A 24,994-nucleotide genomic window follows, 5' to 3' on the forward strand; every position below is an offset into this window, starting at 1 on the left:
CATTTTTTTCTGTGCCATATGTCAGTGTTTGTATTCAAATCATACTGCTTTAATTGCCATATTTTTATAATATGTTAGTATCTGGTAAGGGAAAAAAAACTTTGTCCTACTTCTCTTTTCTAAATTTTCCTTGAAATCTTGACATATTGGTTTCTCCAAGTAAGCTTTTACATCTTTTGTTAACTTAAGGAATATCTATTTGATCTTTTTATTGGGGAATAGAAAGGATTATTATTTCTGAAGTATTCTATCTTTCCATTGAGGAATATGACACATATCTATATTTGTTCATGCATTCCTTTTTGTCCTGGAGAAAAATTTGGCAGTTCTCTTGATTTCAATAGAAATACCACTTAGCGGTGGCTCACGCCTGTAATCCCAACACTTGGGAAGGCCCAGGCAGGTGGATCACCTGAGGTCAGGAGTTCAAGACCAGCCTGGCCAACACGGTGAAACCCTATCTCTACTAAAAAAATACAAAAAATTAGGTGGGCATGGTGACAGGCACCTGTAATCCCAGCTACTCCAGAGGCTCAGGCAGGAGAATGACTTGAACCCGGGAGGAGGAGGTTGCAATGAGCTGAGGTCATGCCATTGCACTCCAGCCTGGGCAACAAGAGCGAAACTCCATCTAAAAGAAGAAGAAAGAAATACCTCTTAAATCTTGTCTCCTTTAAGATTATAAGATAATTATGCTTTTTGCCACTTACAGTTTATAAGGTTAAAAAAAGTTATCCTGGCCGGCTGCGGTGGCTCACGCCTGTAATCACAGCACTTTGGGAGGCCAAGGCGGGTGGATCACCTGAGGTCAGGCGTTCGAGACCAGCCCGACCAATGTGGTGAAACCCCGTTTCTACTAAAAATACAAAATTAGCCAGGCATGGCAGCGCATGCCTGTAATCCCAGCTACTTGGGAGGCTGAGGCAGGAGAATCGCTTGGTCCCGGGAGGCAGAGGTTGAGGTGAGCCGAGATTGCGCCACTGCACTCCAGTCTGGGCAACAAGAACGAAACTCTGTCTCAAAAAAAAAAAAGTATCCTGTTCTCTTAGCTTTTCAATCCTTTTCATAAAACCTATTATTGTTTGCAATTGAAGTGAACTGTATAAAACGTAAAATTAACCATTTTACAGTGAACAATTTAGTGGCATTAGTATACTCACAATGTTGTACAAATAGCACCTCTATCTAGTTCTAAAACATGTTTATCACCCCAAAAATGAAACCTCATACCCATTAAGTATTTACTTCCTATTTCCCCTGCCCCACCCACTGGCAGCCACAAGTCTGTGCTCTGTCTCTGTGGATTTACCTATTCTGGATGTTTCCTGTAAATGGAATCATATAATATGTGGCCTTTTGTGTCTGGTTTCTTTCACTGAGCCTAATGTTTTTGAGGTTCATCCATATTGTAGCATGAATCAGTACCTCATTCCTTTTTATGGTTGAATAGTATTCCATTGTGTGGATATAATATAACTTTATTATCTGTTGCTGGATATTTGAGTTGTTTTCCTCTTTTGACTATTGTGAATGGAGCTGCAGTAAACATTTGGGCACATGTATTTGTTTGAGTATCTGTTCTCAGTTCTTCTAGGTATATACCTGAGACTGGAATTGCCGGGTCATGTGGTCATTCCACATTTAAGTTTTTGAGGAACAGCCAAACTATTTTCCACAGTGATTTAATCATCTTACATTCACACTGGAAATTCAGAATTTTCTAATGTGCTTGCCAATACTTATTTTTCATGTTTTTAACAAATAAAAAAACTTATAGCTATCCTAATGGATGTGAAGTGGGACCTCATTGTGGTTTTGATTTGTGCTTCCGTAGTGAAGAAGGACGTTGAGCATCTTTTAAGATGTGCTTGTTGGACAAAACCTATTGTTTTGAAATCAGTTATTGCTACTAAATTATTTTTACAATTTTTAAATTTTGATATACTTTTGTAACGTTTTCATCAGTTGCTGAGACACTTATGTCAACATTTCAATCTTTCAGTCCTTGCATACTGCAGCATCTTTATAATTCTGATGTATTTCCCAGTTACCTGAAGTACATATTCATGTGATGATTATTATTTTTTTGAGACAGAGTCTCCCTCTATCATCCGGGCAGGAGTGCAGTGGCATGCTCATGGCTCACTAGAGCCTTGAACTCCTGGGATCAAGCGATCCTCCTGCTTCAGCTTCCTGAGTAGTTAGGACTACAAATGTGCACCAAAACACCCAGCTAATTTACCCATTTAATTCATTTAATTAAATGAATTTTAAAAATTCATTTTTTAATTTTCATTTTTTGTAGAGATGGGGAGTCTTGCTGCATTGCCCAGGCTGGTCTTGAACTCCTGGCCTCAAATGATCCTCCTATCTTGGCCTCCCAAAGTGCTAGGATTATAGGTGTGAGCCACCACACCTAGCCTTCATGTGATTTTAAAAAGGATTTATGTGTTAGATTTTCTGAGTCCTCGAATATTTTATCTATTATTGTTATCATACTTGAATTACAACTTGGTTTGTTACAAAATTTTCGGCTTATGAACATTTTCCTCTTAGTTAAATCATTGAAAATTTTGTTCCTCTTTCTCTCTCATGATATTTAAGTTACAGGGGAGATATTTGATGCCAACCAGAATTTTGTTTAAGATAAGCTGGTTTATTCTACAGAGAGGTTTGCAGTTCACCCACTACCCCTTGGGCCTTGTATTGAAAACCTTTACCCAGAGTATGTATATATGAACGTGTATATGTATGAAAATTTTTCTTTTGGCATTTAGGAATGTCTTTCTTTTCCAATCCCTAATAAAAGTCCAACAGGATATTTGTTAAGTTGACAAGAGATTACCTGGAAGAAGTGATAGGCCGGAATTTCAAAGGAAAGTTAGAAAGTTACAAAATCTGTCTTTGTATGGATCATGATATGCTCCTTTGATTTGAAACCTTTTTTCTCCTTTGCAAATTAAGGTTTTGTTTTTAAATTTCTATAGTGCTTCTTCAGTTTTGGCCTTGACTTTTGCTTTTATTTCACTTTTTATTTTTTTCCCTCCCGTCGTGATAGGTGTCACTCAAATGATAGATCTACTTTCTATTCTTCCTAATAATCCTCTCATCATTTTCAGTACCTTGTCTTGTCCTTCTGAGGTCTAGAAGAACAGCACAGTGTTGTTCCCCACATTAGTGGTTTAATTTTCTGCACTGCCCATGATAAGTTTTGCTATGTACTGTGTCCTTTTTGTTTTTCCTATTGCCTATTCGTTTCTTTCCTTACCATGCCTGGCTCTTTTCATTCACTCAGTTCTTTGTCTTTGCAACTCTCCTAATGTGATTTCACAGACTATCGGACCAAGAAATGTCAGGGCCAGGGTATAACCCAAGGGTTTCCATGGAACTGGAAATGTGACCTCTTGTTGTTTTTTAATTATTTTCAAAGAAAATATATACTAAATATATGAAAAATAACTTAAAGAAGAATGAAAGAGTGTGCCTGTGAAAATCTATACTTGGCTACCGAGGGCTTTACTATGAATGTATCACAAGTAAAGAGTCGCAGATGGTTTACAATTTCATGTAGAAGCTGCTATGTCCTTGTTAGAGCATTGCCTAATATATAAATATAGATTATGCCTCTCAAAAAATAAGATGAAATAATAAGGGAAGATGGGAAATTTCACTTTTTACCTGTTTTTTCTATATTTGTGACTAATTTCTTTGCTTACATATGATGTGTATGAGCATCCCAAAACATTGCACAGATACCACAATTTGGTAGTTTGTAAGTAAAGTGGGGGAAGCATGAGCTTCAGAGTGTTATCCAGACAAGGGTTTGCGTAACTGTTCTACCACTTTCCACTTGTGTAAGCTCGACCCCCTTCCCTAAGCTCTGAGCCTGAGTGTCATACTCTGTACAAATCCCCATCTTGAGGAAACTCTTGAGGGTTAAATGAGATGACAATCCCTTAGGCCTAGGATGGCACTTGGCACGTGATAGCACTCAACAATTATATTTCTTACTCAGTATTCATTTATTGAGTCCTGTGAATCAGGCATCATGCTAGGCGCTGGAGGCTCAGTTATGAATAAGACACAATCCCTGCTCTCAAGGAACTCAGAATTTAGGAGGACATGCAGAAGAGGAAAACAACAACAGTAATATTCTACAATAAAAGACTGTTCTGGAGAGGCTGAAGTGGTTTATCTTATTCACCTTTGCAGTACAGTGCCTAGCACAGTTTCAGACACCTAAACATGCCTTAGCTGTGGTCAAATTAATGATTTACTCTCTGAATGTTGGGATGCATAAATGGATAATGTCTAAGATAGAGGTTTACCGAAGGGCAGGAGGAGTAGAGAAGAGGGCCATGACTCGATCAGGGAAGATTTTTAAGTAGAAGTTACACTTCAGCTGAAGTTGTTTCCTTCCCTGTTTCCTTTGTAAATTGGATTAAATTTTTGCTGTACCAAGGGACTTGATATTTCAAGGAACCTTGCTACATATCTTTTTTGTAAAGTGAAATCTTTTGTAATGCAAATAATCACTTCCTAATTTATATGTGGAGCAAGTTAAGATTTTTGTATGTCAGGTTTTTTTTTTCTTTTCATTTTTAAAGATGGGCACAATGGTCTATCTTTGCAATAAGTAAACACAACCTTACAATAATTGAATGAGAAATTATTGATTGAATTTAATCTGCATTTTTTTCTTCCACATCCTATAAAGAATAAAGAAGCTGTTTTAAATGTAAAAATGCCCTTGCTGAAGTGAATAAAGAAGACATGTTTGTGTAGTTCTGATTGGAAGTTAAGGCTTTTCTTTCTCATTAGATAATCAACTGTTCTTTACAGGTCACTTCTTTAAGACTCCATTTCCCCATATGCAAAATGTGGGATTTGAAAAGTATTTCTTAGTTCTGTTGCTGCTCTAAAATTCTCTGAAAGGAAAATAAAATGATTAATGACAAACTTGCTTTATAACTATAATAGTAAACCACAAATAGCCAATATGCTAGGTGATAGAAATAAAAATGACTCTTATGTTTAGTTAAGATCAAGAAGTTTGGATTAGTGCCGCACTTGGACACAGGAAGGGGAACATCACACACCGGGGCCTGTTGTGGGGTCGGGGGAGGGATAGCATTAGGAGATAGACCTTATGTAAATGACGAGTTAATGGGTGCAGCACACCAACATGGCACATGTATACATATGTAACAAACCTGCACATTGTGCACATGTACCCTAGAACTTAAAGTAGAATAAAAAATATATATATATATATATATATATACACACAAAAAAGTTTGGATTAAAAAAAGTATGCACAGTCATGTATAATTTAGACTTTTAGAAGATGCCAGGCAATTATTAGAAGATGAAAATTTTATAGCCAATAAAAACTCATTATAAATACAGTAAGAAAATTTTCACTTCAGTATTTTCATATTGAAAGAAAGCTTTTGTACATACACACATTAAATAAATTCCAATTCAAACTTGGGCCATGGTATAAGAACATATTCAGTTACACCAAATAGCAAGAAGCAGAGTCTTCAAGAAACCAATAGAATGTGAAACAAATGAGGGAAAGTTCACCTTTTATTAATTTCGTGCCCTTGCTACCTTTCTTCTCTGAAGGATATTTATAGTAATATAAGTAACCATAGGGGGCAATTAATCCTGAGTGTGTGGTTAAATTTTGTTCCAATATTAATTGCTTTTAGCAAAAATGAGGCTTTATTTTAGGCAAAATTTTAATTTTACATACTGATTTTGGGAGATTCATCTATTATCTCATTTCTGTTGCTTAGAAATGTACTAAATTAACCCAAGGAACAATGAGTATATAAAAATATTACATCACATAGTCATTCATATTATATATTTATTATAAGCCAACATTACAAACTGTTTTGTTGTATCAGTAATACCTTAGAGATGCCCTGTCCATTATGGTAGGGCTTATTGACTGCTTAATACGTAGCTAGTCAGAGTTGGGATGTGCTGTATAGAGATACACACTGGATTTCAAAGAGTTTTTAAAAAGAATGTAAAATGTCTCCTGAAAAGTTTTGCATTCTTAATTGTGATGACAATATTTTGGACAGATTGTGCTAAGTAAAATATGTTTTTAAAATTAAGCTCAACTGAAAAAATTTTAAATGTGGCTGCCAGAAAGTTAAAAATCATTTATGTGATTTGCATTATATTTCTTTTCTTTTTTAAAAAAAATTTTTTTGGAGACGAGGTCTCACTGTGTCACTGAGGCTAGGTTATAGTGGCGTGATCAAAGCTCCCTGTAAGCCTCCAATTCCAAGACTCGGGCAATATTCCCACCTCAGCGTCCCAAGTAGCTAGGACCACTGATGCATGCCACCACACCCTGCTAATTTTAATTTTTTGGTTGAGATGGGGTCTTGCCATGTTGTCCAGGCTGGTCTCAAACTCCTGGGCTCAAGGGATCCTCTCACCTTGGCCTCCCCAAGTGCTAAGATACAGCTAGGATACCCCGCGAGCCACCGGGCCTGGCCTGGCCTTGCATCGTATTTCTACTGGACAGCACTGCCTTAGAGTTAAAGAAGCAAGTCACTTTGTGAGTACTGATGTGTTAGTTCTGACACAGTATATAAATATACCAATGATTGATGGTTCATTGATAGCTCTTATCTGAGACATTTGTGACATGAATAACAGACTTTTATTACTTTACTTTTTATCCATCAATATAGGAATAATCCATAAGGTATGTAAAGGAAAGGGCTATACTCCAAATGATTTGAGAAAACTTGATACGCTTTGTGCCTCCTCTTGTTATTCCGAAGTGTTCATCATTCCTGTGACTGATTTGGACCAAGATTTATAAATGCTTTTAAAATTTCTTGTTCAAATAAGTTTTTCTTCAATAATATTTAAAAACTTCTGTATCAGTCAAGGTTGTGCTTAATCACACCTTCTCATGACTATCTTCTTAAATGCCTACAGCCATAAATAAAGTGTACTTCATCAGTACTTTTGATGGTACATGACTTGTTTTGCTCTGCAGTTGATATCACAATTTGCTTTGTGGTGGTGGTATTTTTCCTTTGGTCTAACTTTCCTTTAAAATTGTGTATCCAGCTTGCAAATTGGCTTACTTACTTATGTATATAAGTGCTTCCTTTAGTAGTGTCCTAACATATAGTGGGTACCTTGAAAAATATTTATTGAATTAAAACAGTAATGTAGAAAGCCTTTAGATATTTGGTTCTTGAACTTCAGGACTGCAAATATACCTAGAAAATTCTTACTTCACCTCTTTGCCTGAACTAGATAGAGGAATCAGCATTTTTTTATTATTATACTTTAAGTTTTAGGATACATGGGCAGAATGTGCAGGTTTGTTACATAGGTATACACATGCCATGGTGGTGTGCTGCACCCATTAACCTGTCATCTACATTAGGTATTTCCCTAATGCTATCCCTCTCCTAGCCCCTCACCCCCTGACAGGCCCCAGTGTGTGGTGTTCCCCTCCCTGTGTCCATGTGTGTTTTCATTGTTCAACTCCCATTTATGAGTGAGAACATGCAGTGTTTGGTTTTCTGTTCCTGTGTTAGTTTGCTGAGAATGATGGTTTCCAGCTTCATCCATGTCCCTGCAAAGGACATGAACTCATCCTTTTTTATGGCTGCATAGTATTCCATGGTGTACATGTGCCACATCTTCTTTACCCAGTCTATCATTATAGCTATTCATGTTATTTATTTTTAAAATGTAACTTACCCCTCAGGCAGAATTTTCTCTAAAAAAGAATTACTGAATTAAGTGAGCACCTGCTGAGGTTTAAGAGATTAACTGTCTTTCAGCACTCATCCTTCATCAAAGTTATTTTGGCTCTGTGATGTCACATGTCAGAATGAACCTAAAGACTCAAGCAAACCATTGTTGAAACGTGCATCAGCAATAAATTGGTAGGTTGCGCTGCATTTCTTTTTGTTTTCAAATTTTAAAAATTGTTTTTATTATGAAATAAACTCACCAAATATTGATCATCTGGGAAATATTTTGATAATTCTACTGCTCCAAATAGTTTCCTTTGCATTTCAGTGTTCTGGTATTGCCTTTGAATAAATAAATTCAATACGTAAAGTTATAAAATTTTGTTTGCTTTAATTCTCAGGTGCTCTTAGTGGTTGTTCTCTTGTTCTTTAATCCTCCCCATATTTCTTCTGTATTCAGAAATTATCCCCACTTAGCAATAGGTGAAATGATTTCTCCGTAATCATGCTGTGAGTACAGCTAAGCCAGAACTTACTACTCTGTCTCTGATCTCATGAGTTTTTCTCCAATTTAACCTAAGAGCAGTCTAAGTGAGAAGTCAGATTATGAAGTCATTTTGCCACATCTTCCTGACAGCTGTTTCTTCCCTGAGCCAATTTCATTGCTGGGCTTCCACTCACAACCAGATAGGATTTCACTGTTAAACATAGCCTCTATATCCTATTGATTGCGGTACCACTTCTTGATTTGTTTTTAAAAAGCTGGATCTAATACGATATTCCTTGATAGGAACAGAAGATTTTTTGGAATTAATTATGTTCTTTATTTGTTTTCAACCATTATACTTAACACCGTGAATCTCTCTGGGAGAAGAAAGAAGAAAGATAACTATTTCTTTGCAGTCAATGCAAAATGCCATTCAGAGGCATAACCGGCCTCTTTGTCAAGTTTCCTTGGAGCATATCCTTGCAGAAACAACAGTTTCTACATGATAGGCATGGGGCTGTGACTGCTCCCACAAGGAGGCCTTCTGAGGCCTCGGTTGCTAGTTGAGAAAGTAACCCAGGAGAACTACTGGAGGACAAACATTCACAGGGTGCATGTGTTATTTTAACGTAAATAAGTAAGATCTTCATGTGGTTAAATGTCAACGCACAAAAGAACATGTAGCCTCTCTTCTGCCTTGGCCTCCTACCACTTGGTTCCCTGTTTTGGAATCAACGACTTCCGTCAGTTTGTATAAAAGAGGGTGATGAGAATGTGCATTTTCTTGTGTATGCCTAAAATATGCACACTGTTTTTTACCTTGCCTTTTTAACCTCATGATTTATTTTGAAAATTGTATCATGTGATGAATTTATGTTATATTTATGGGATTACATATTTCACAGCATTTTATCATTGAATCCAGTTATTTATTCTTTTTGCTATTACAAACAATGTCACAAATAATAACTGAATACATAATTTTATATGCATGGGAGCATATTTAGTAGATCACATTCCTACAAGTGTAGGTGAGAGGATATGTTCCTTTGAAATGTAAGATTATTTAATTTTATACATTGTTCTGGAAAGAGACTATATAATAAAAATATTTAAAAATAAGTGAAGAATAAAGTTAGTCTCTTTCTCTCTAAGAGAGGCAGCTGCTACTAGTACTCCTTTGGTACCCTTCCAGAGACTGAGCGTATACAAGCATGTGTGGTGTGTATTGGATAGATATATTACGTATACATCTTTCACTAGGAAGATTTTTATTTTTTCTCCTTCACTCTATAGTTCTGATTCTCAACCAGGAGTGATTTTGCCCCTCCTGAGGACATTTGTCAATATCTGGAGACATTTGTGGTTGTCAAAAGTGTGTATATGGGGTCTTCTCCTTGTATCTAGTGGGTAGAGGCCAGAGATGCTGCTAAACATCCTACAGTGCGCAGGAAAGCCCCTGCAACAAAAATTACCTGGCCCCAAATGTCAGTAGTACCAAGGTTGGGCAACTCGAGTCTATAAGGACTTGGAAGGCTTTTCCAAGGTGTTGATTTCAATAGATACAAAGCTTCATCAGAGCCATTGGTGTTGGGAGCATCATTACTTCTCCTCTTCCTCCCTTTTCTCTTTCTTCTCCTGTTTCTATCAGGAACCGTCATTGCTGTGTGTCTCACCAGCAAGAGTGATGTTCTAATGACATTCATTACACTTAGCTGGCCTCTGTAGGATGACTCAGATATGGTGTCCATATTGTCCCATGTGGTTCCCATTTCTTTTTTTCTTCCCTCACTTTGACAGCGCACATTCTCTGGTAGTTTGCTGGGAAAGGGTATATGAAAAGTAGATTTGGAGGGGATTTAATTTCTAAAAATGTCTCTATTACATCCTTAAGTGATTGATGTTTTTATATGGAATTCTAGGGAGGAAATAATTTTACCTCGGAATTTGAGGCCGTTTTTCCATTTTCATATAGCATCTGGCTTTGTTGTTGAGAGAGATTGTGACATTCTGATGATTGTTTACATGTAAGCTTCTTCCTGGGTGTTCTGAAATATCCCACTGATGCATGTAATGTGGTGTGAATTTACTTTCATTCAATGTGTTGGGTTCTTGGTGGTCTCTTTTAATCTGGAAATGTATCCTTCAGTTCTGGAAAATGTTAAGTAACTTTGTTGCCTTTTTTCCTGTTGTGTGTCCCCATTTTGGTGCTCTGGTTTCGATATTGGAATTTTTTGATGATTTTCAAAAAATATTTTCTCAATATATTTCGCTTGGCTGTCCAGGAGATTGCCTCAGATTTTTACTCTCTTAGACTGGTTTTCTCTCATTTTTGTTGTTTTTAGTTTTTAAAACCTTTTTTTGTTCTCTGAATTTTCTTTTTATTCTAGCTGTTCCTGTCTGCAGATGCAGTTTCTGTTCTCCCTGATGATTAATAATAGGAACATGCTTGTTTTTTACTTTTCTTCTTATTGCTTAGTCTTTTTCTTGCAAGTTACCATTTTCTACTTTTTTTTTCATCTGAGTCGTATCTTCTGTGTTAGAGAGTTTTTCAGCTGTCTTGTAATCTTTGATTGTCTATTTATGGTTAAGTGGTTTGGAAGTTCTGAGTGCATGAACTGGGCTTGTTGAAATTCATTACTGAGTGGTCTGGGTGAACCATGTAGGGAACTCCAATGTCTGTTATCTTTAAATTTGTCCTCTTGGGCTGATTAGCTTCCCCAAAGAAGGAACTTCCAATTTCTCATTTGGAGAGCTTCAGGTGTTCTGGGAGCCCTGTGGGGGAAAGAGTGGGTTCTCAGAGTGCATATGATCACTTAATCTTCCCGTTTGGGGTCCATAACCATTCTTGGCATCCCTTAGTCCAGAGAGCTCCTGTTTAATGATCTCCAGAGAATAAACCTCCAGACCTCCCACCCTCATTTCTACAGAGGTGGTCTCAGCAGCTGAGACCAGACATCTAATTGCATCTCAAAGAGCTTTCATACAATCGTCTTTATTTTAGCCGTGTTATTTCCAACAGAACCATCCTTTCTCTCAGTTCCATGGGTGACTGGTACTCCGAGTCCTAAACCATTTGTGTCTTCTGTGGTGTTTTGGACTCTTTCTCAGCATTGCATACTGTTGGCTTGGGGTCTCTTGTTTCATTGCTGCTAAATAAATTGCTGTTAATCCATCTGTTTACTACCACAAAAAGTTTCATGGCTGATATCTCTTCCCCTGTTTTCCCAGTTCTTACGGGTTTATGTCTTACATGTAATTTCTCCTGTAATTTTAATGTGGTATCAGAAGGGAGCATTCAGTGTGGGTCCAGGCTGCCATCCCAATTTAGAACTCTTTGTTGTACAAATATTTAGAGATCTCTTTATGGAAAAATATAGGTAGAATTGGCCTTCTCTCTCCTCTTTTTTGCTGCTACTATGTCCTAATTTGGATTACCATTTTGGCTCCTGGAGCCTGGGCAGTTAGCTGCCAGAGCTGTTTCTAAAGCAAAATCAAGTCCCCAATTCACTATATTGACAGCTATGCTGATGGATGTGGCACTACCGCTGGTTTAAGATTAGTTGGCCCTTCATGAGTTTGTTGTTGCTTTATGCTTCTGACTATACCTTCCCTTAACTCACCTTTGATCCTAAGGAATGTGTGCATAATCTTTTTGAAAATGTTTGCTATGCCAATATTCCAGATTAATGTCTAAGAATGTTTAATGGTCGGAAGCTGCGCTTTGAGCCCCATCGACCAGGTGTCTCCTGCTTCGTGGTTTATAGGTCACCTTTGCACAGGGACAAATGCTTCCCGACTTCTTTTTACGACTCAGAGGATGCTGTATTTGTAAAGCCACTTTCATTCACTGATCGTGAAGCCTTTTACAGATTTAAAATCATTCATCTTTTCAAGATGCTAAGGATGTTGGTCCCATGTAGAGATAATAAATACTGGGAAAAAATACATAATATGCAATGACAGCAGTCCTTTCTGTTCCCCTTAGAAAAGGATTCCAGGCCACTGGCTTCTTATTCTGCTTCCTAACAAACAAATATGACAATTAGTTACATGAAAGATGTTGACAAAATAGTTGTTTTGTACTATGTTTGAAATGATTTTGATATTGTTATTTTAATGAAAACAATTCTAGGACCTGCCTCTAAGGTGCCATTTGAGGCTTCTACCCAGAGTTTTCTACCTAGAGTTTTACTTTTCCATGCAGTTGATTTGCGTTTTTGGTAAAGATTTCCATGTTTCTATAAATATTTATGGACACTGCAATTTGAGTTTCTTAGAGTTTTCACATCACAAGTATTATTATTAATTTTTTTTCAGCCATCTAAAAGTATAAAAATATTTTAAACTCACAGACTAAACAAAAACTGGTGCTAGGCCAGATACTGCCTGCAGGGCATAGTTTGCTGATCTTGGTTTAAAACTTTTGCCTTGGGATGAGTGCTGTTCCTCTTGTGCCAAGTGTCAGCTGTGATAATCTGACATCTGTAGGTGGGAAGACATTGTTTGAAATTGGGATGGCTTTGCTCAAGCTTTTGTGTTGATGGGAGAATTATTTAGAGCCAGTTCAGACAACTCTCATGTATTCCATTTGTCAACTTCTTTCTCTCCTTTGTAACCATTTCCATTCTTCTTGTGGGCATTATTTTAGTTTTCTCCTGGGTATTTTCAAATAATTTGAGGATTTTTGGGGGTGAGGAGGAACTGGGTATCTCTCTGTTCCCAGGCTGGAGTACAATGACACAATCATAGTTCACTGCAGCTTCGAATTCCTGGGCTCAAGAGGTCTTCCTGCCTCAGTTTCCTGAGTAGTCAAGGTTACAGGCATGAGCCACTATGCTTGGCTTTCTTTATTCCGAGTAGAGATTATATACAATGCACTGTGCTAGTTGCTTAAGAGATATGAATATAAACCAGAGCCAAGTTTCCTTAGCAGATAAACACAGCTATGGAAGAGGTTTCTTCCCTTTGCCAAAGTTCACCGAGCTAATCCTAGGTAGGGAGTGTGGTCTGCAGGTGTGTGTGTCAGCAGAAATTGTGTAGGTATCTTCCCTCTGTCTTCATGTTGTAGATGAGGCATATTTTTCTGTATTGATTCCCATTTTGGGGATGCCAGCAACATCAAAATAGTGAATAATAGTGCTATGCTCTGCATTTTTAAATATTACCATATTTTTACTACTCTAAAGAGACTACTCTCTCTTCAGATGCCCTCTGTCAATTTATTCATTAATTTAAACTTGTTTTAAAAACTTACTTTGAAAGCTGTATTGCTTGGCAAAGATAGATCACCACTTAGTGAAGATTTGTGATTGAATGAACAAAGACCAAGGGGGAGGCCTAGGTGATGAAGTCTATGCACTGAAAATAATAAAAATAGGAACTTTTCAAAATGAAGGAAATCAGTATAAGGGTGTAGAATCAAAAAACAACACAATTATAGATTTCATGGTAGTTATAGTAAGTAATATAGTCTCAAATGAATACTCCTTTATTTCATAGCAGGGATTGGCATTTGTGCAATATTCTTTAGTTAAATTTCAATTTATTGGATTTTTGCATCACTGCAGATTGATCTATTGAATTTGTCACAGTGGCCTTGTTTTTACCTTGATGTGTTTAATACCTGCTGGATCAGAATGCCAATCAATTTAGGTTAATTTCATTAAGTTTGCTAAAGCTTTTTAAATTAAAGGCTGCTGACATTACCAGTAACAAAATGTAAGTAACATATTCTCACATGTTATTGTTCTAGACAATAGATTGGTGCTACATATTCTCTTCGAACACCTCCTTACTTGGATTTTTAAATTCCCTTAATTATTTACAAGAATATAAATCATTTAACATTTTAAATTTTAATTATCTGCATGATCATTGCTTAGTATTCTGTGCCAAACTTTAAACTCAGCATAGATTTCAGCTCTCACTAAATAGATTTCAATTAAATTCCTTCCATGTTTTCTAGAAAGAAATGGATTATATTTTTAAAAATTGTATTGTGCTTTCCATTACAAATATAAACTGGGGAGTGGTTCCTGAGAAGTGGCCTTTTAATTCTTCTCTTTTGCATTTTAGTTCTCAGAGAAGTCACAGTGCACTTAGCATTTAGGTGAAATATAATTATCGTTAAGGTTTTTGTGAATAATATATTTCGCAATGAGCTCAGTAATATGCAGTTATGGAACTCAGCTTGCATTATTAACTGATTTTATTAACTGCCATTAATGCAGTATTTATAAATATTGCTTGGAGAACTGTAGTTACATTTACCAAAGATAGAATCAAGAGGAACTCTAAAAAAAGAAGAGCAGACTACATCATTTCCAAAACCACTAGTGAATTTAGAAAGGGGAAAAAGAATATAGCACTCAAACCATCAAAAATTTGCTATTCAATCACATTTTAATGCTTTATGGCATTGGTATGTAGTCCTTACTGCACTTTTCTATGGGGAAATTGAGCAAACAAAAGTTTGTTATAGCATATGCTGATCTAGAATTAAAGAGATTTTAGTTACATAAGGTTCAAATTATCTTTGACATATTTTGCAGGTTACTTACAAAATCCTGCCTAAACACAGAACTCTTCTTTATCAGAGAACCTAACATCAGATTTTAATCATATCTTGTACCCACAGGGTTTTAGGTTTCCAACAGGCCACCTGTCTCGGACATTTAAAAATTCACAGGACAGATGGGAAGGTGAAAGAACCTGTCCTTGGATGAAGAAATTTTTACATTGCAGGAATGTTCACAGGCAGGGCCAGCCAATATATCACACACATACCTTGTATTTGTCTAGTGGTGAGGTATAATCACACATTTCCCTTTAGTAGTATAAATACAGAATTCATTATTTATATGCATTCTTTTTGTGGTCAAGAAAGAGAAAAAAAATTAGAGCTTGTAAAAACCTGTGGTTCAGGTGATCCATGATTCAGGAAATAAGACTATATTTTATATTAACTTTCCAGAATCTCTGTTCATGGAATATGTACCTTATGTAAGACCGGGTACAATTGTGTTTATTAACAAGTCAGGATCTGGAGCTAGGTCGCCTGGGTTTGGATGTCTTCCTGACCACTTACAAGTGACCTTGGCAAGCTACTTAGTATCCCTGGGCTTCAGTCATCTCATCTGTGAGATGGGGATGTCAATAGTCCTTCATGTGGTTTTTGTGAAGATTACACGAAGATGACATGAAGATAACACTAGTGCCTAGAATAGTGTCTGGAACTGGGAGTTAGTGTTTGGTAAATGTTGGCTGGTAATAATGATACTAATTGCATGTAAAAAGTAAAAGAGGCACTTAAAGCTTAGACTTGGAAATTTTAATGGAAATTTAAGGAAAAAAATGTTCTTTAAAATTTCACAGTTACATTTATTTTTGGGAAGGAATCTATCTGTTACTTGTATTCAAAATCGTTGAGCAGTGGTAGTCCGTTAGAAAGCACCAGCGGATTGTACCGCGAACTGTGGTTGATCTTTGTTAACTCCTTACACTGGTATTACTTGGAAACATGTTAGAAAGTTGAATTTTTAGGCCCAGCCTGGGAACTACTAAATTGGAAGCTTCAGGTGGGACTGAGAAATCTGTGTTTTAACAGGCCCCCCACATGATTTTGATACATGCTGAGGTGTGAGGACCACTGGTTTAGATGCGTATGTATTTATTGGAAGACACTATATTTGGTCTGGGTACTAGCTAGAGAATCAGAACATGAGCGATTATGTCCCTTTTCTAATGGACATTCCAGTGGGGTGGGGCAGACAAGAAATTTGTAAACAGTCATAAAAACCTAAGAACTAAAGGTGGCAGAAGTATTAAAAAACAAAAGGGAACAGGGAAATGGTGTAGGCACAATAATTGGGAGTTCTAAGGTACTGCAGAGAGAGGGTGTTCATGGAAGGGCTGAAGATAAGACAGCAGAGGTTAAATTATGAGAACAGTACATAACAAAAGTCAGTGAAAGAACAGTCCCAGAAGAGGAAACAGCTAGTGCAAAGGCCACGAGATGGGGGTGCTTTAAAGAGGGGCCCTGTTACTTGTCTACTGGTAATTACTATTGGTAAACTGAAAGCATGTTATTCATGTCGGGGATTTGATTATTGTAGTTAGGGAAAGGGGTTCTTAGCTAAGGTTTTGATAGACTCTTTTACAAAATTACTGGCCGGGCGCAGTGGCTAATGCCTGTAATCCCAGCACTTTGAGAGGCTAAGGTGGGTAGATCACCTGAAGTCAGGAGTTCGAGACCAGCCTGGCCAATGTGGTGAAACACTGCCTCTACCAAAAATACAAAAATTACCTGGGCATGGTGGCGCATGCCTGTAATCCCAACTACTCAGAGACCGAGGCAGGGGAATTGCTTGGATCTGGGAGGCGGAAATTGCAATGAGCCTAGATCACACCACTGCACTCCAGCCTGGGCAACAGGAGAGAGACTCCATCTCAAAAAAAATAAATAAATAAAATTAAATTAAAAACCAAAATATTACTGTAATTCCCCATTTTATTTTTCATGTAGACCCACTACCTAAAGCTAACTGTCATACACTATCAATTTGTTTATGAGTTGATGCACCAGAATTGCTTTGTGAGCTCTGAAGTTTGCATTGGGTTAACAGTAAGTCGTGAGGCATCTTGTAATTTGGGGGCTGTGGTTACCAATGAACCTACAACCCCCAAGGTAAAACGTTTTCTTGTAGAATTATGGGAATCTTGTCAACTTCAGATTTCTTTTGTCCAAAACTTAAATCACTGTCCTTAGATGTTTTTATATTGTCGCCCACATGTGTAAATTTGTGTGCAGAATAGCTAATTATAGTATTAATTATAATGAGCTTTTTTTTTTTTTTTTTTGAGATGGAGTCTTGCTCTGTCGCCCAGGCTGGAGTGCAGTGGCGCAATCTTGGCTCACCGCAAACTCCGCCTCCCGGATTCACACCATTCTCCTGCCTCAGCCTCCTGAGTAGCTGGGACTACAGGCGCCCACCACCATGCCCGGCTTATTTTTTGTATTTTGAGTAGAGACGGGGTTTCACCGTGTTAGCCAGGATGGTCTCAATGTCCTGACCTCGTGATCCACCTGCCTCGGCCTCCCAAAGTGCTGGGATTATAGGCGTGAGCCACTGCGTCTGGCCTGTAACAAGCTTTTACTAGTTTACTATTACCTATAACACCCGTAAGAAAAATTTTTTACATATAGAATAAAGACTGTGCTGGCTTATGATTTTAACTGCAAGAGACAAGTTTTTCTAAATTAAGACTAAACTCAACAAATTTAAATTTTTTAAAAATGAAATTATTTCAATATTTTGCATATTATAAAAGCATTGTAGCTAGCTAGTTTAACTCACATTATGACAAATTTAAGGATAACATATCTTACATATAAAACTTTCTTTTTTCAATCTTTGCAGGATAAAAATGTCATGTATGAGACATAAGAGTACATCTTTTTAAATATAAGAAAACCTAGATACAAATCCAGGCTTCTCCACTTATTCTTAAGTGATGCCATGATCAAGTCAATTATATTTTCTCTGTTTTAATTTCATTGTCTTCAACATGGTAATATAAAATCTATCTTTTTGGGTTTATTAACTCAGTTTTGAGATATTAAGACCATATATCCAAGTGTATAGCAAATAAGTGGTCCAAAAGTGGTGATTTTTATTTCACATTTAGTGAAAAAACTCTGAATTAATAGTTTGATTAACTGTGCCAAAGAAAAGTCTGTGGCTCTGGGAAGGGGAACATCACACACCGGGGCCTGTTGTGGGGTGGGGGGAGGGGGGAGGGATAGCATTAGGAGATATACCTAATGTAAATGACGAGTTAATGGGTGCAGCACACCAACATGGCACATGTATACATATGTAACAAACCTGCACGTTGTGCACATGTACCCTAAAACTTAAAGTATAATTAAAAAAAAAAAAAGAAAAGTCTGTGGTTCTGTCCATCTTTCAAGTATAGATTCTGGTTATTTCTAAAGGTTATGATTCTGTTTTTATTTATTTACTTTTTTTTTGTTTTAAGTCACAGAACTGCAGGAACTTGGGTGAAGTCAGCGCTCAGTTTTGATTTTATCTTTGAAGTTCCGCCATGTGGCCAGTGGCTAGCAAGCATTCTCCCTTTGGGGCATTTCATTTCCAAATGAAAAACTCTGAGTTTCTCCAACTGATGTGTTTCATTCACTCACTGTCTTACTGGTCTTCATTGTAGCACATATTGGAGAAATATGGTACTGAGCATACTTTGGACAGCTTCAAAGTTGAGTTAAATGTAAGTATTTTCCAAACAGTGGAGGACAATGAAAGATAACAGATACTTTAGTATGCGTTCATGTACTGGCTGGAACATGTTCATGCTCTGGCAGTGACTTTAGCTTTTCCTTAGAAAGCATGGGGATATTAAGTTATTTAAAAGTATTCTTTAGATCTAAAGTCTAAAGGCATCTACCCAGATTAATTTTTTAATATTTTCTGTATAGTTTCCTGATGGTATTAGAAGCAGGAAGTAGTATGGAGATAAGGAGCATATTTATTGAATGCCTACTATGTGCCAAGCACTTTGCTTAACATTATGATTAATTTTTGACTTCTCAAAACCTTGTGATTTAGTTAGTACCTATCCATTTTATAGATGTAGAGAGCAAGAATCATTGATACTAATTAACTTGCCCAGCTTTATGCAGTTAGTGAAAAGAAGTTAAAACCCAGGTATGTTGGATCCCAAGGCCCAAGTTCTTGACCACTGTCTTCTAATCAACAAAAGCTATATACTTAAGAAAACAAGGGTGAAGAATGAGGATACTAATACATTGGTATCACTGTACTTGACATTGTGGTTTATGTTTCAAATACTGGTTCTGTAGTCTTAAAGGAGTATATTTATTTGCAAATGAAAGTAGCAAGCTCACGATGGCTTCCTCCATGGTTTAAGAGGATAATGAGAGAGATCAATAGTTGTTGTCTTGTAGCCAAGCGGTACAGGGGAGAACTGGAAAGGTAGGTTCCCATTTGCTCTGTCCTGGAGGAGATAGTCAATGAGAGTATAGCCAAGTAAAATTATTACAAATGTTCATAAGTACTTTGAAGGAAACAAGTAGGGGTTGAGGTAGAGACCAGCAGGATAAGGAATGTTGCATACATAAGACGTGGGAAATAGGAATGGCTCATGTGAGGAAGTGACATAGGACCTGAGCCATGAAGGCTGAGGAGCCAGGTCTTAGAGCTGAGTGCTGCTGTCAGTTATCAGAGGAGCCCTGAATAGGCCATACTCCTCCAGGGATGGGGCATAGAGTCCTAGGCTTCTTCATTCCTGGCAGAGAGTAGGCACCATGCCGGGCACATGGCTGGCCCTGATGTATATTTGCTGAATGAATTTTGCAAATCCCTGCAAAGAGCATTTCCTTATGTACCTGCTTATACGGTCATCTGTGTTGATGTAGTGCAGCCAGGTACTTGTCTACTTAAACTTTTCATTACAGAAATTTTTAAACACAAAACAGAGTCTAGAATAATGAATCTCCATGCATCCATATCTACATTCAACAATTATTAATATTTTTTCAATCTTATTTTATCTAACCTCTACTTCATTTTTTTCTCCCTATGGTATTTTCCAGCAAGTCCCAGGCATCATATCTTTACAATTGTAAATACTTTAATATGCGTTTCACACTGATGAGGGCATTTTTATTTACATAGCCTCAGGTCACTATCACACTTAGAATTAATAAGGACTAATCTTCTGATCTTTTAAAAATTTAATAAAGCTAAATACAATTTATTAACAAATTATGATGGAATTAGCATCTATAAATGTGCCTGGATGCAGTTGCTATTTCCTTTTAAATTCTTCTCATGTTTGTGACTTGACTGTCCAATGACTGTAATTTCTTACTCTCTCTCCAAAGCTAGCAACCAAACATCAACTTTTCGTTAAAAACAAGCAAAAAAAAAAGTGGCCCAAGAGGAGCGTCTACACTGCAACTGACTTAGAAAGCTGCTTGACAGAACCTCCTCTCTTTATTGGTCCCTGTGGTGGCAGATGGTATTAAATCTGTACATGTGTCAGAAACATTATTTTTCAAAAGTTTGCTCTGATATTTTTCCTCCAGACATCATCGGATGTTGGTTCTGTCTTCATAAATTGCAAGTGGAATTGAGCATCGGTAGACTTTGGACAATCTTCTGTCACTCAGAACTGGCTGCTATGTACTCAACACTGGGAATCTAGAAAAATACAGATCTTTGAAATCATTACTGCTGACAAAGAAAAAGGAAGTCCCAGTGACACCTCTTAACATCATGACAACCTGACTCACCGACCACTTTCACTTTTTCAAAAAACCGTGCAGTGTTAGTTTGGCTTTAACATCTCTGTACCCCTCATTCATTATTTAATCTTATTTTGCTTTGTTCAGACAAGCTATCTGGGCTATTGTGAAGCTTCACACAGCCAATTACCTCAAGGTGTTTAGTTCATTTATTATTTAAAGCATAAATCTTGTACAGGTTGTCCATTGACGACCCTCTGAGTAGATGGAGTAAATGCCTTTCATCCTGGCGGCCTCAGTCAGTGCTCACAGACCTGCTTGCTGAGCTTGGCAGGCCAGGCGAGAGCTGGAGCATGTAAGATAGCAGAGGTAATTGCACTTTACTTTCTGTTTAAGGGTACATGCGAAAAATGTGCACACAGTCGCAAATTGAGTTGATATGTAGAGAGAAAGAATCTTTCATTTAAAATGCAGTATTTCTTTCTACAAAATACTTGCTGGACAAGTTAAATCTTGTTAAACGTTTTAGCTATTGATATGGGCTGGATACTGAATTTAAAAGTTTGTTTAGAGTAGGCCATAGTAACATCACACTTAAGAATACTTAAGCAGAAGTGTTTTGTTGTTTTTTTTTTTTTTTTTTTTCAAATTTGCATCTGTGTCCTTGAACCCATTTTCCTTTCCATCTTGCTTTTAGTCTTGTGTCATTATACCAAGGGTCAGATGACTTGGAAAAAAGGCTAGTTTAAGTAATGTGCCAATTCTGCTGATGGGCTTACACGCCATTAAGAGATTTTATTCCAGGCCGAATGTGCCAGGTATTTAACTGGGAACTGGTACTAATTTCAGAGCTAATACTGAGCTGTTCCACATCAGTGCTTTCAGCAGGTGGCTTGAACTGACAGTGTAAAGAAAAAAGTGAGAGAAAATTACCATTGTACTTTAAATTTCTCTGATTGAATTGACTGATTATACTGTCAGAGGAGCATTGGGAAGCTGGCAGGGTTATGGGCAGTGAAGAAATGACAGACTTCTTTTAGAAAGAGCTTGCCTGTTGGTTTTTGCACGGCCAAATATTTCAAAATGATAATAAGGTTTGATGTGAGATTTTAATTCAGTACTTGTGAAAATTCATGTGTTCTCTGATATGTCTTTTAAAGCAGACAATCTTGTAAGGAGAGCCAGTGGTTTCCCTATCACCATTTTCTCTTATACAGCAAAGTATTGAAACATTGGATTCAAATTCCATCAGTCAATGTTAAACTACATTATTTTATATTTACAAAGAAGTTTCATAAAGATTTCAATTTTGTGAAGAAGCTTCACTTATCAGAGAATGGAATTGAGAACTTAAGTGTCTCAGGATGAAAAACTGTTTGTTTTATGTAATCGGTCTTATATCATGTTCTTAAATAAGATCTTCTGTGTAAGAAGTTCTTACCAGTCACAAATATTCCCAGTTGTCTTCTAAATTTATGATTATTTGTTCTAAAATTCTATATTATTTAAATATTTTAAAATCTTCTTCAAATGAACAACTTAAAAAAAAACCACAGAGATACATTATTCTAGTTACTGTTAGTGGAATAATAATAATGGCAACTAGTGTTTATTGAATAGTTGCCACATACCAGATACTTTACTAAGTGCTTCATGGTGTCCCATTTAATCTTCACAGTGACTACATAAGTAAATTTCTTTCGTATTCCTGTTACTGATGAGGAAATCATGGCCCAGCGAAGTTGGATAACTTTCCTGGGTACCCAGAGCTAGTAAGAGGCAGAGCCAGGGTGCTGACTCTCAGAACCCCATTGCTTCTCCTGTGTCAGCACAGGTGACTCTTTTTTTTTTTTTTTCCTGTCAATTCACTGACTTCCTTCTGTACTGGTGAGACAGGGAATTAATACAATAATTTCCCTTTTCATGGTTATCCCATTATGAATTTAATAGGACTTTTTGGTATAGAGTTATGAGAATTCATAAGGGAATCATTTAAAATGCAGAAAAATGTACTGAAGTGTTCTATGAAAGGTGTAAGAGAGACAAGTTTAGCAGAGTGTAAGTCAGGTTTGGGGCAGAAGGAAAAATCAGTCAGGATAAATGGGTCAGCATTCATCATTTGTTCAACAAATACTTATTGTACTAGGTGCCAGGCATTGGACTCGGCCTGTCGGAAAGCACTGGGTGATTTATTTTTGTTGGGTTGACTCCCTGGTGGGATTATTCACAAACAACCTTTCGATGTAAGTAGGAAGCTTTAATTGCAGAAGAGAAGGGTTAAAGTCTCTCTGGTTGGACTATGGTGTGTGAGTTTTGTTTCATTGCATAATCTAGTAGGCTATCCTCGTATTATCATTATTCTGATGCAGTGTAACAAACCAGCAGGAAACTGCATTCCATGGGATTTCTATGGGGACTACAGAGAATTCGTTCCAATGCTTACAGAGCAGCCTGCTTGGAGCTTAAAGTAGCCTCAGGGCTAATGTGAGGAGCTGTGCAGCTCTACTACTGAACTGTAAAACTCAAAGCATGCGTAGTGTAAATAAAACAAGGTTAGTAGAATCATTTCTAATCTGGAGGCCTTATCAGAGCGTTGGCTGATAATTTATTGTTGAAAGAAGGAAAAAGGCAGGAGATTTGAAATACTATGCCTCACTGAAAATGTAAATACCTGTTTTTTTGCTTAGTTTAAAACTTACTTCCTCTCTTTTTTTTTTTAAGCTTAATTGAAGGTACATTTTGAAAGAATGTGCACCATTTACCCCACTTCCTCCTTCCCCCAAACAAAACTGTCAAGCACAGTGACACTTTCTGTAGCAAACTTATTCAGCCTAGGCTTATAGGAATCCATATTCGGGGGCATGTTGGTTTGATTTCTGTGTTCTGTCCACATTCTGTGAGTACTTTGTGTCCCCCCATCCCCAAAGTGTGTTTAGCAGTGCTCCCTTATGTTAATAGAAGAATTGTCCTGCCTTCTTTAGCCACGCTCACATATTGGATGGTTAAAGTTGCTAGGTACCAGCCCCATGAGGATAGTCTGTGGTCTCCCCACCATGCCTCCCCATGTGCTTCCACTACTGTCGGTGCTGTGCTGTTGATAAGCTGTCAGACCGGCCTCATAGGCCTGCGACCTGTGACTCACAGAAGCCTCCCCCTCACCCCTCGGTTCAATTTGCTGCTGTCATCTTCTTGAAATCCTTAATAATGTTTAATCAAGGGGCTTCACCTTTTCATTTGGCACTGGGCTTTACTCCTCACATAGCTGGTCTTACCTGTTCTGTGGGCATCTTCCCCGTTCCTGACCCCAGCAGCAGAGATTGCATCCTTCTGCCAACTCAGATGGTGCCTCATCCATGAAGCCTTCTAGTTTTTCCATAAACATAAGTATCTCTTCCCTTTGTATGTCCCTCAGTTACAGCCTGCATTCCACCCTGCCTTGAATTCACATCTGTCTTGCATGCACATCTGTCTCCCTCAGTAAGAGGTAGACTCTTGGAGGGAGGGCAGGCACTCTCCAAGGATCTTTGTATTTTTTTCCCTCCATATCCTAGCCCAATGCCTTTCAGTTCTCCATAAATGCTTTCTGAATTGAAGTGAATTAAATAATTTGCCCTTTTATCTGAAAGAGTAAAGAAATTTACATTTAATATAAGGCCCCTTTGATAGACATATTGCCTTCATTTCAGTTCTCTTCTGATGCAGAATTATGGTGCTGGCTTCCATTGAATGGCAAATGGGATGAGATGGTACACATACGATTCTGCCTCACTGATGAATTTGGGGTGGAAAAAATATAAATGAAATCATTTCACTAATTTTAAGACATTTAAAGAGTATGGAAATTGAGCTTAGGAGGAAAAGGTTAACTAAGGTTAAAGCGAATGCTTTTCATTTCACTTAGTATATCACTAAGTGGAGATTTAAAGGCACTGCTCTTTTCTTACCAAACTTTCCTATATTGCTCCTGGATTTCCTTTTAATGTAATTTAAGTAAGACATTCTCATGGTTTAGATCATTTTAATTCTGCATGCTTCACAAGGGCTATTTTCATATTGGAAATATTTCATAATATGATTCCTTGAGCCTCTTAGAAGAATAGAATTTACAACGCTTGGTATCTACACAGGAGGTAGAATTCTAGCAGGTTTAGAAACTTGTATATAAAGTTCAGACTTTGTTTATTAGCAACAAAAGACAATGCAGTTGACTCTACCACACAGATTTTTAGCAGAGGGGCCGTGATCAGCTTCAGGAGTTCTATAAACTCTCTCAAAGTGTATGCAAAAATTTATTTTGAGGACATTCAAATCTCCTAGAGAGAGGGCTCCCAGGGCAATTTCTCAAAGTATTCAAGCCAAGTTAAGAACCAGTGGGCTAGCAAAAATGGAAAATGGAATGAATACACACACGCACAAACAGACACACACATACACACACACACGCACGTATATTGTAAAGATAAATTA

General features: G+C 37.3%; 1 protein-coding gene across 19 annotated transcripts in view; it reads left to right on the plus strand.

Moving 5' to 3' along the window:
* The window catches only part of NPAS3 (neuronal PAS domain protein 3), an 869,389-nt gene that overhangs the window by 207,687 nt on the left and 636,708 nt on the right, over nt 1-24,994 (plus strand). Inside the window, exons 1-2 of one of the 19 annotated variants that reach the window (XM_017021588.2) lie at nt 7,698-7,943; nt 18,469-18,528. The exons of 17 other annotated variants lie outside the window; for them this stretch is intronic. The gene's annotated coding sequence lies outside the window, so the exon portion shown is untranslated. One more of the 19 variants, XM_017021587.2, reaches the window with a different exon arrangement.

Source organism: Homo sapiens, chromosome 14, assembly GCF_000001405.40.
Source record: "Homo sapiens chromosome 14, GRCh38.p14 Primary Assembly".
Lineage (NCBI taxonomy): Eukaryota > Metazoa > Chordata > Mammalia > Primates > Hominidae > Homo > Homo sapiens.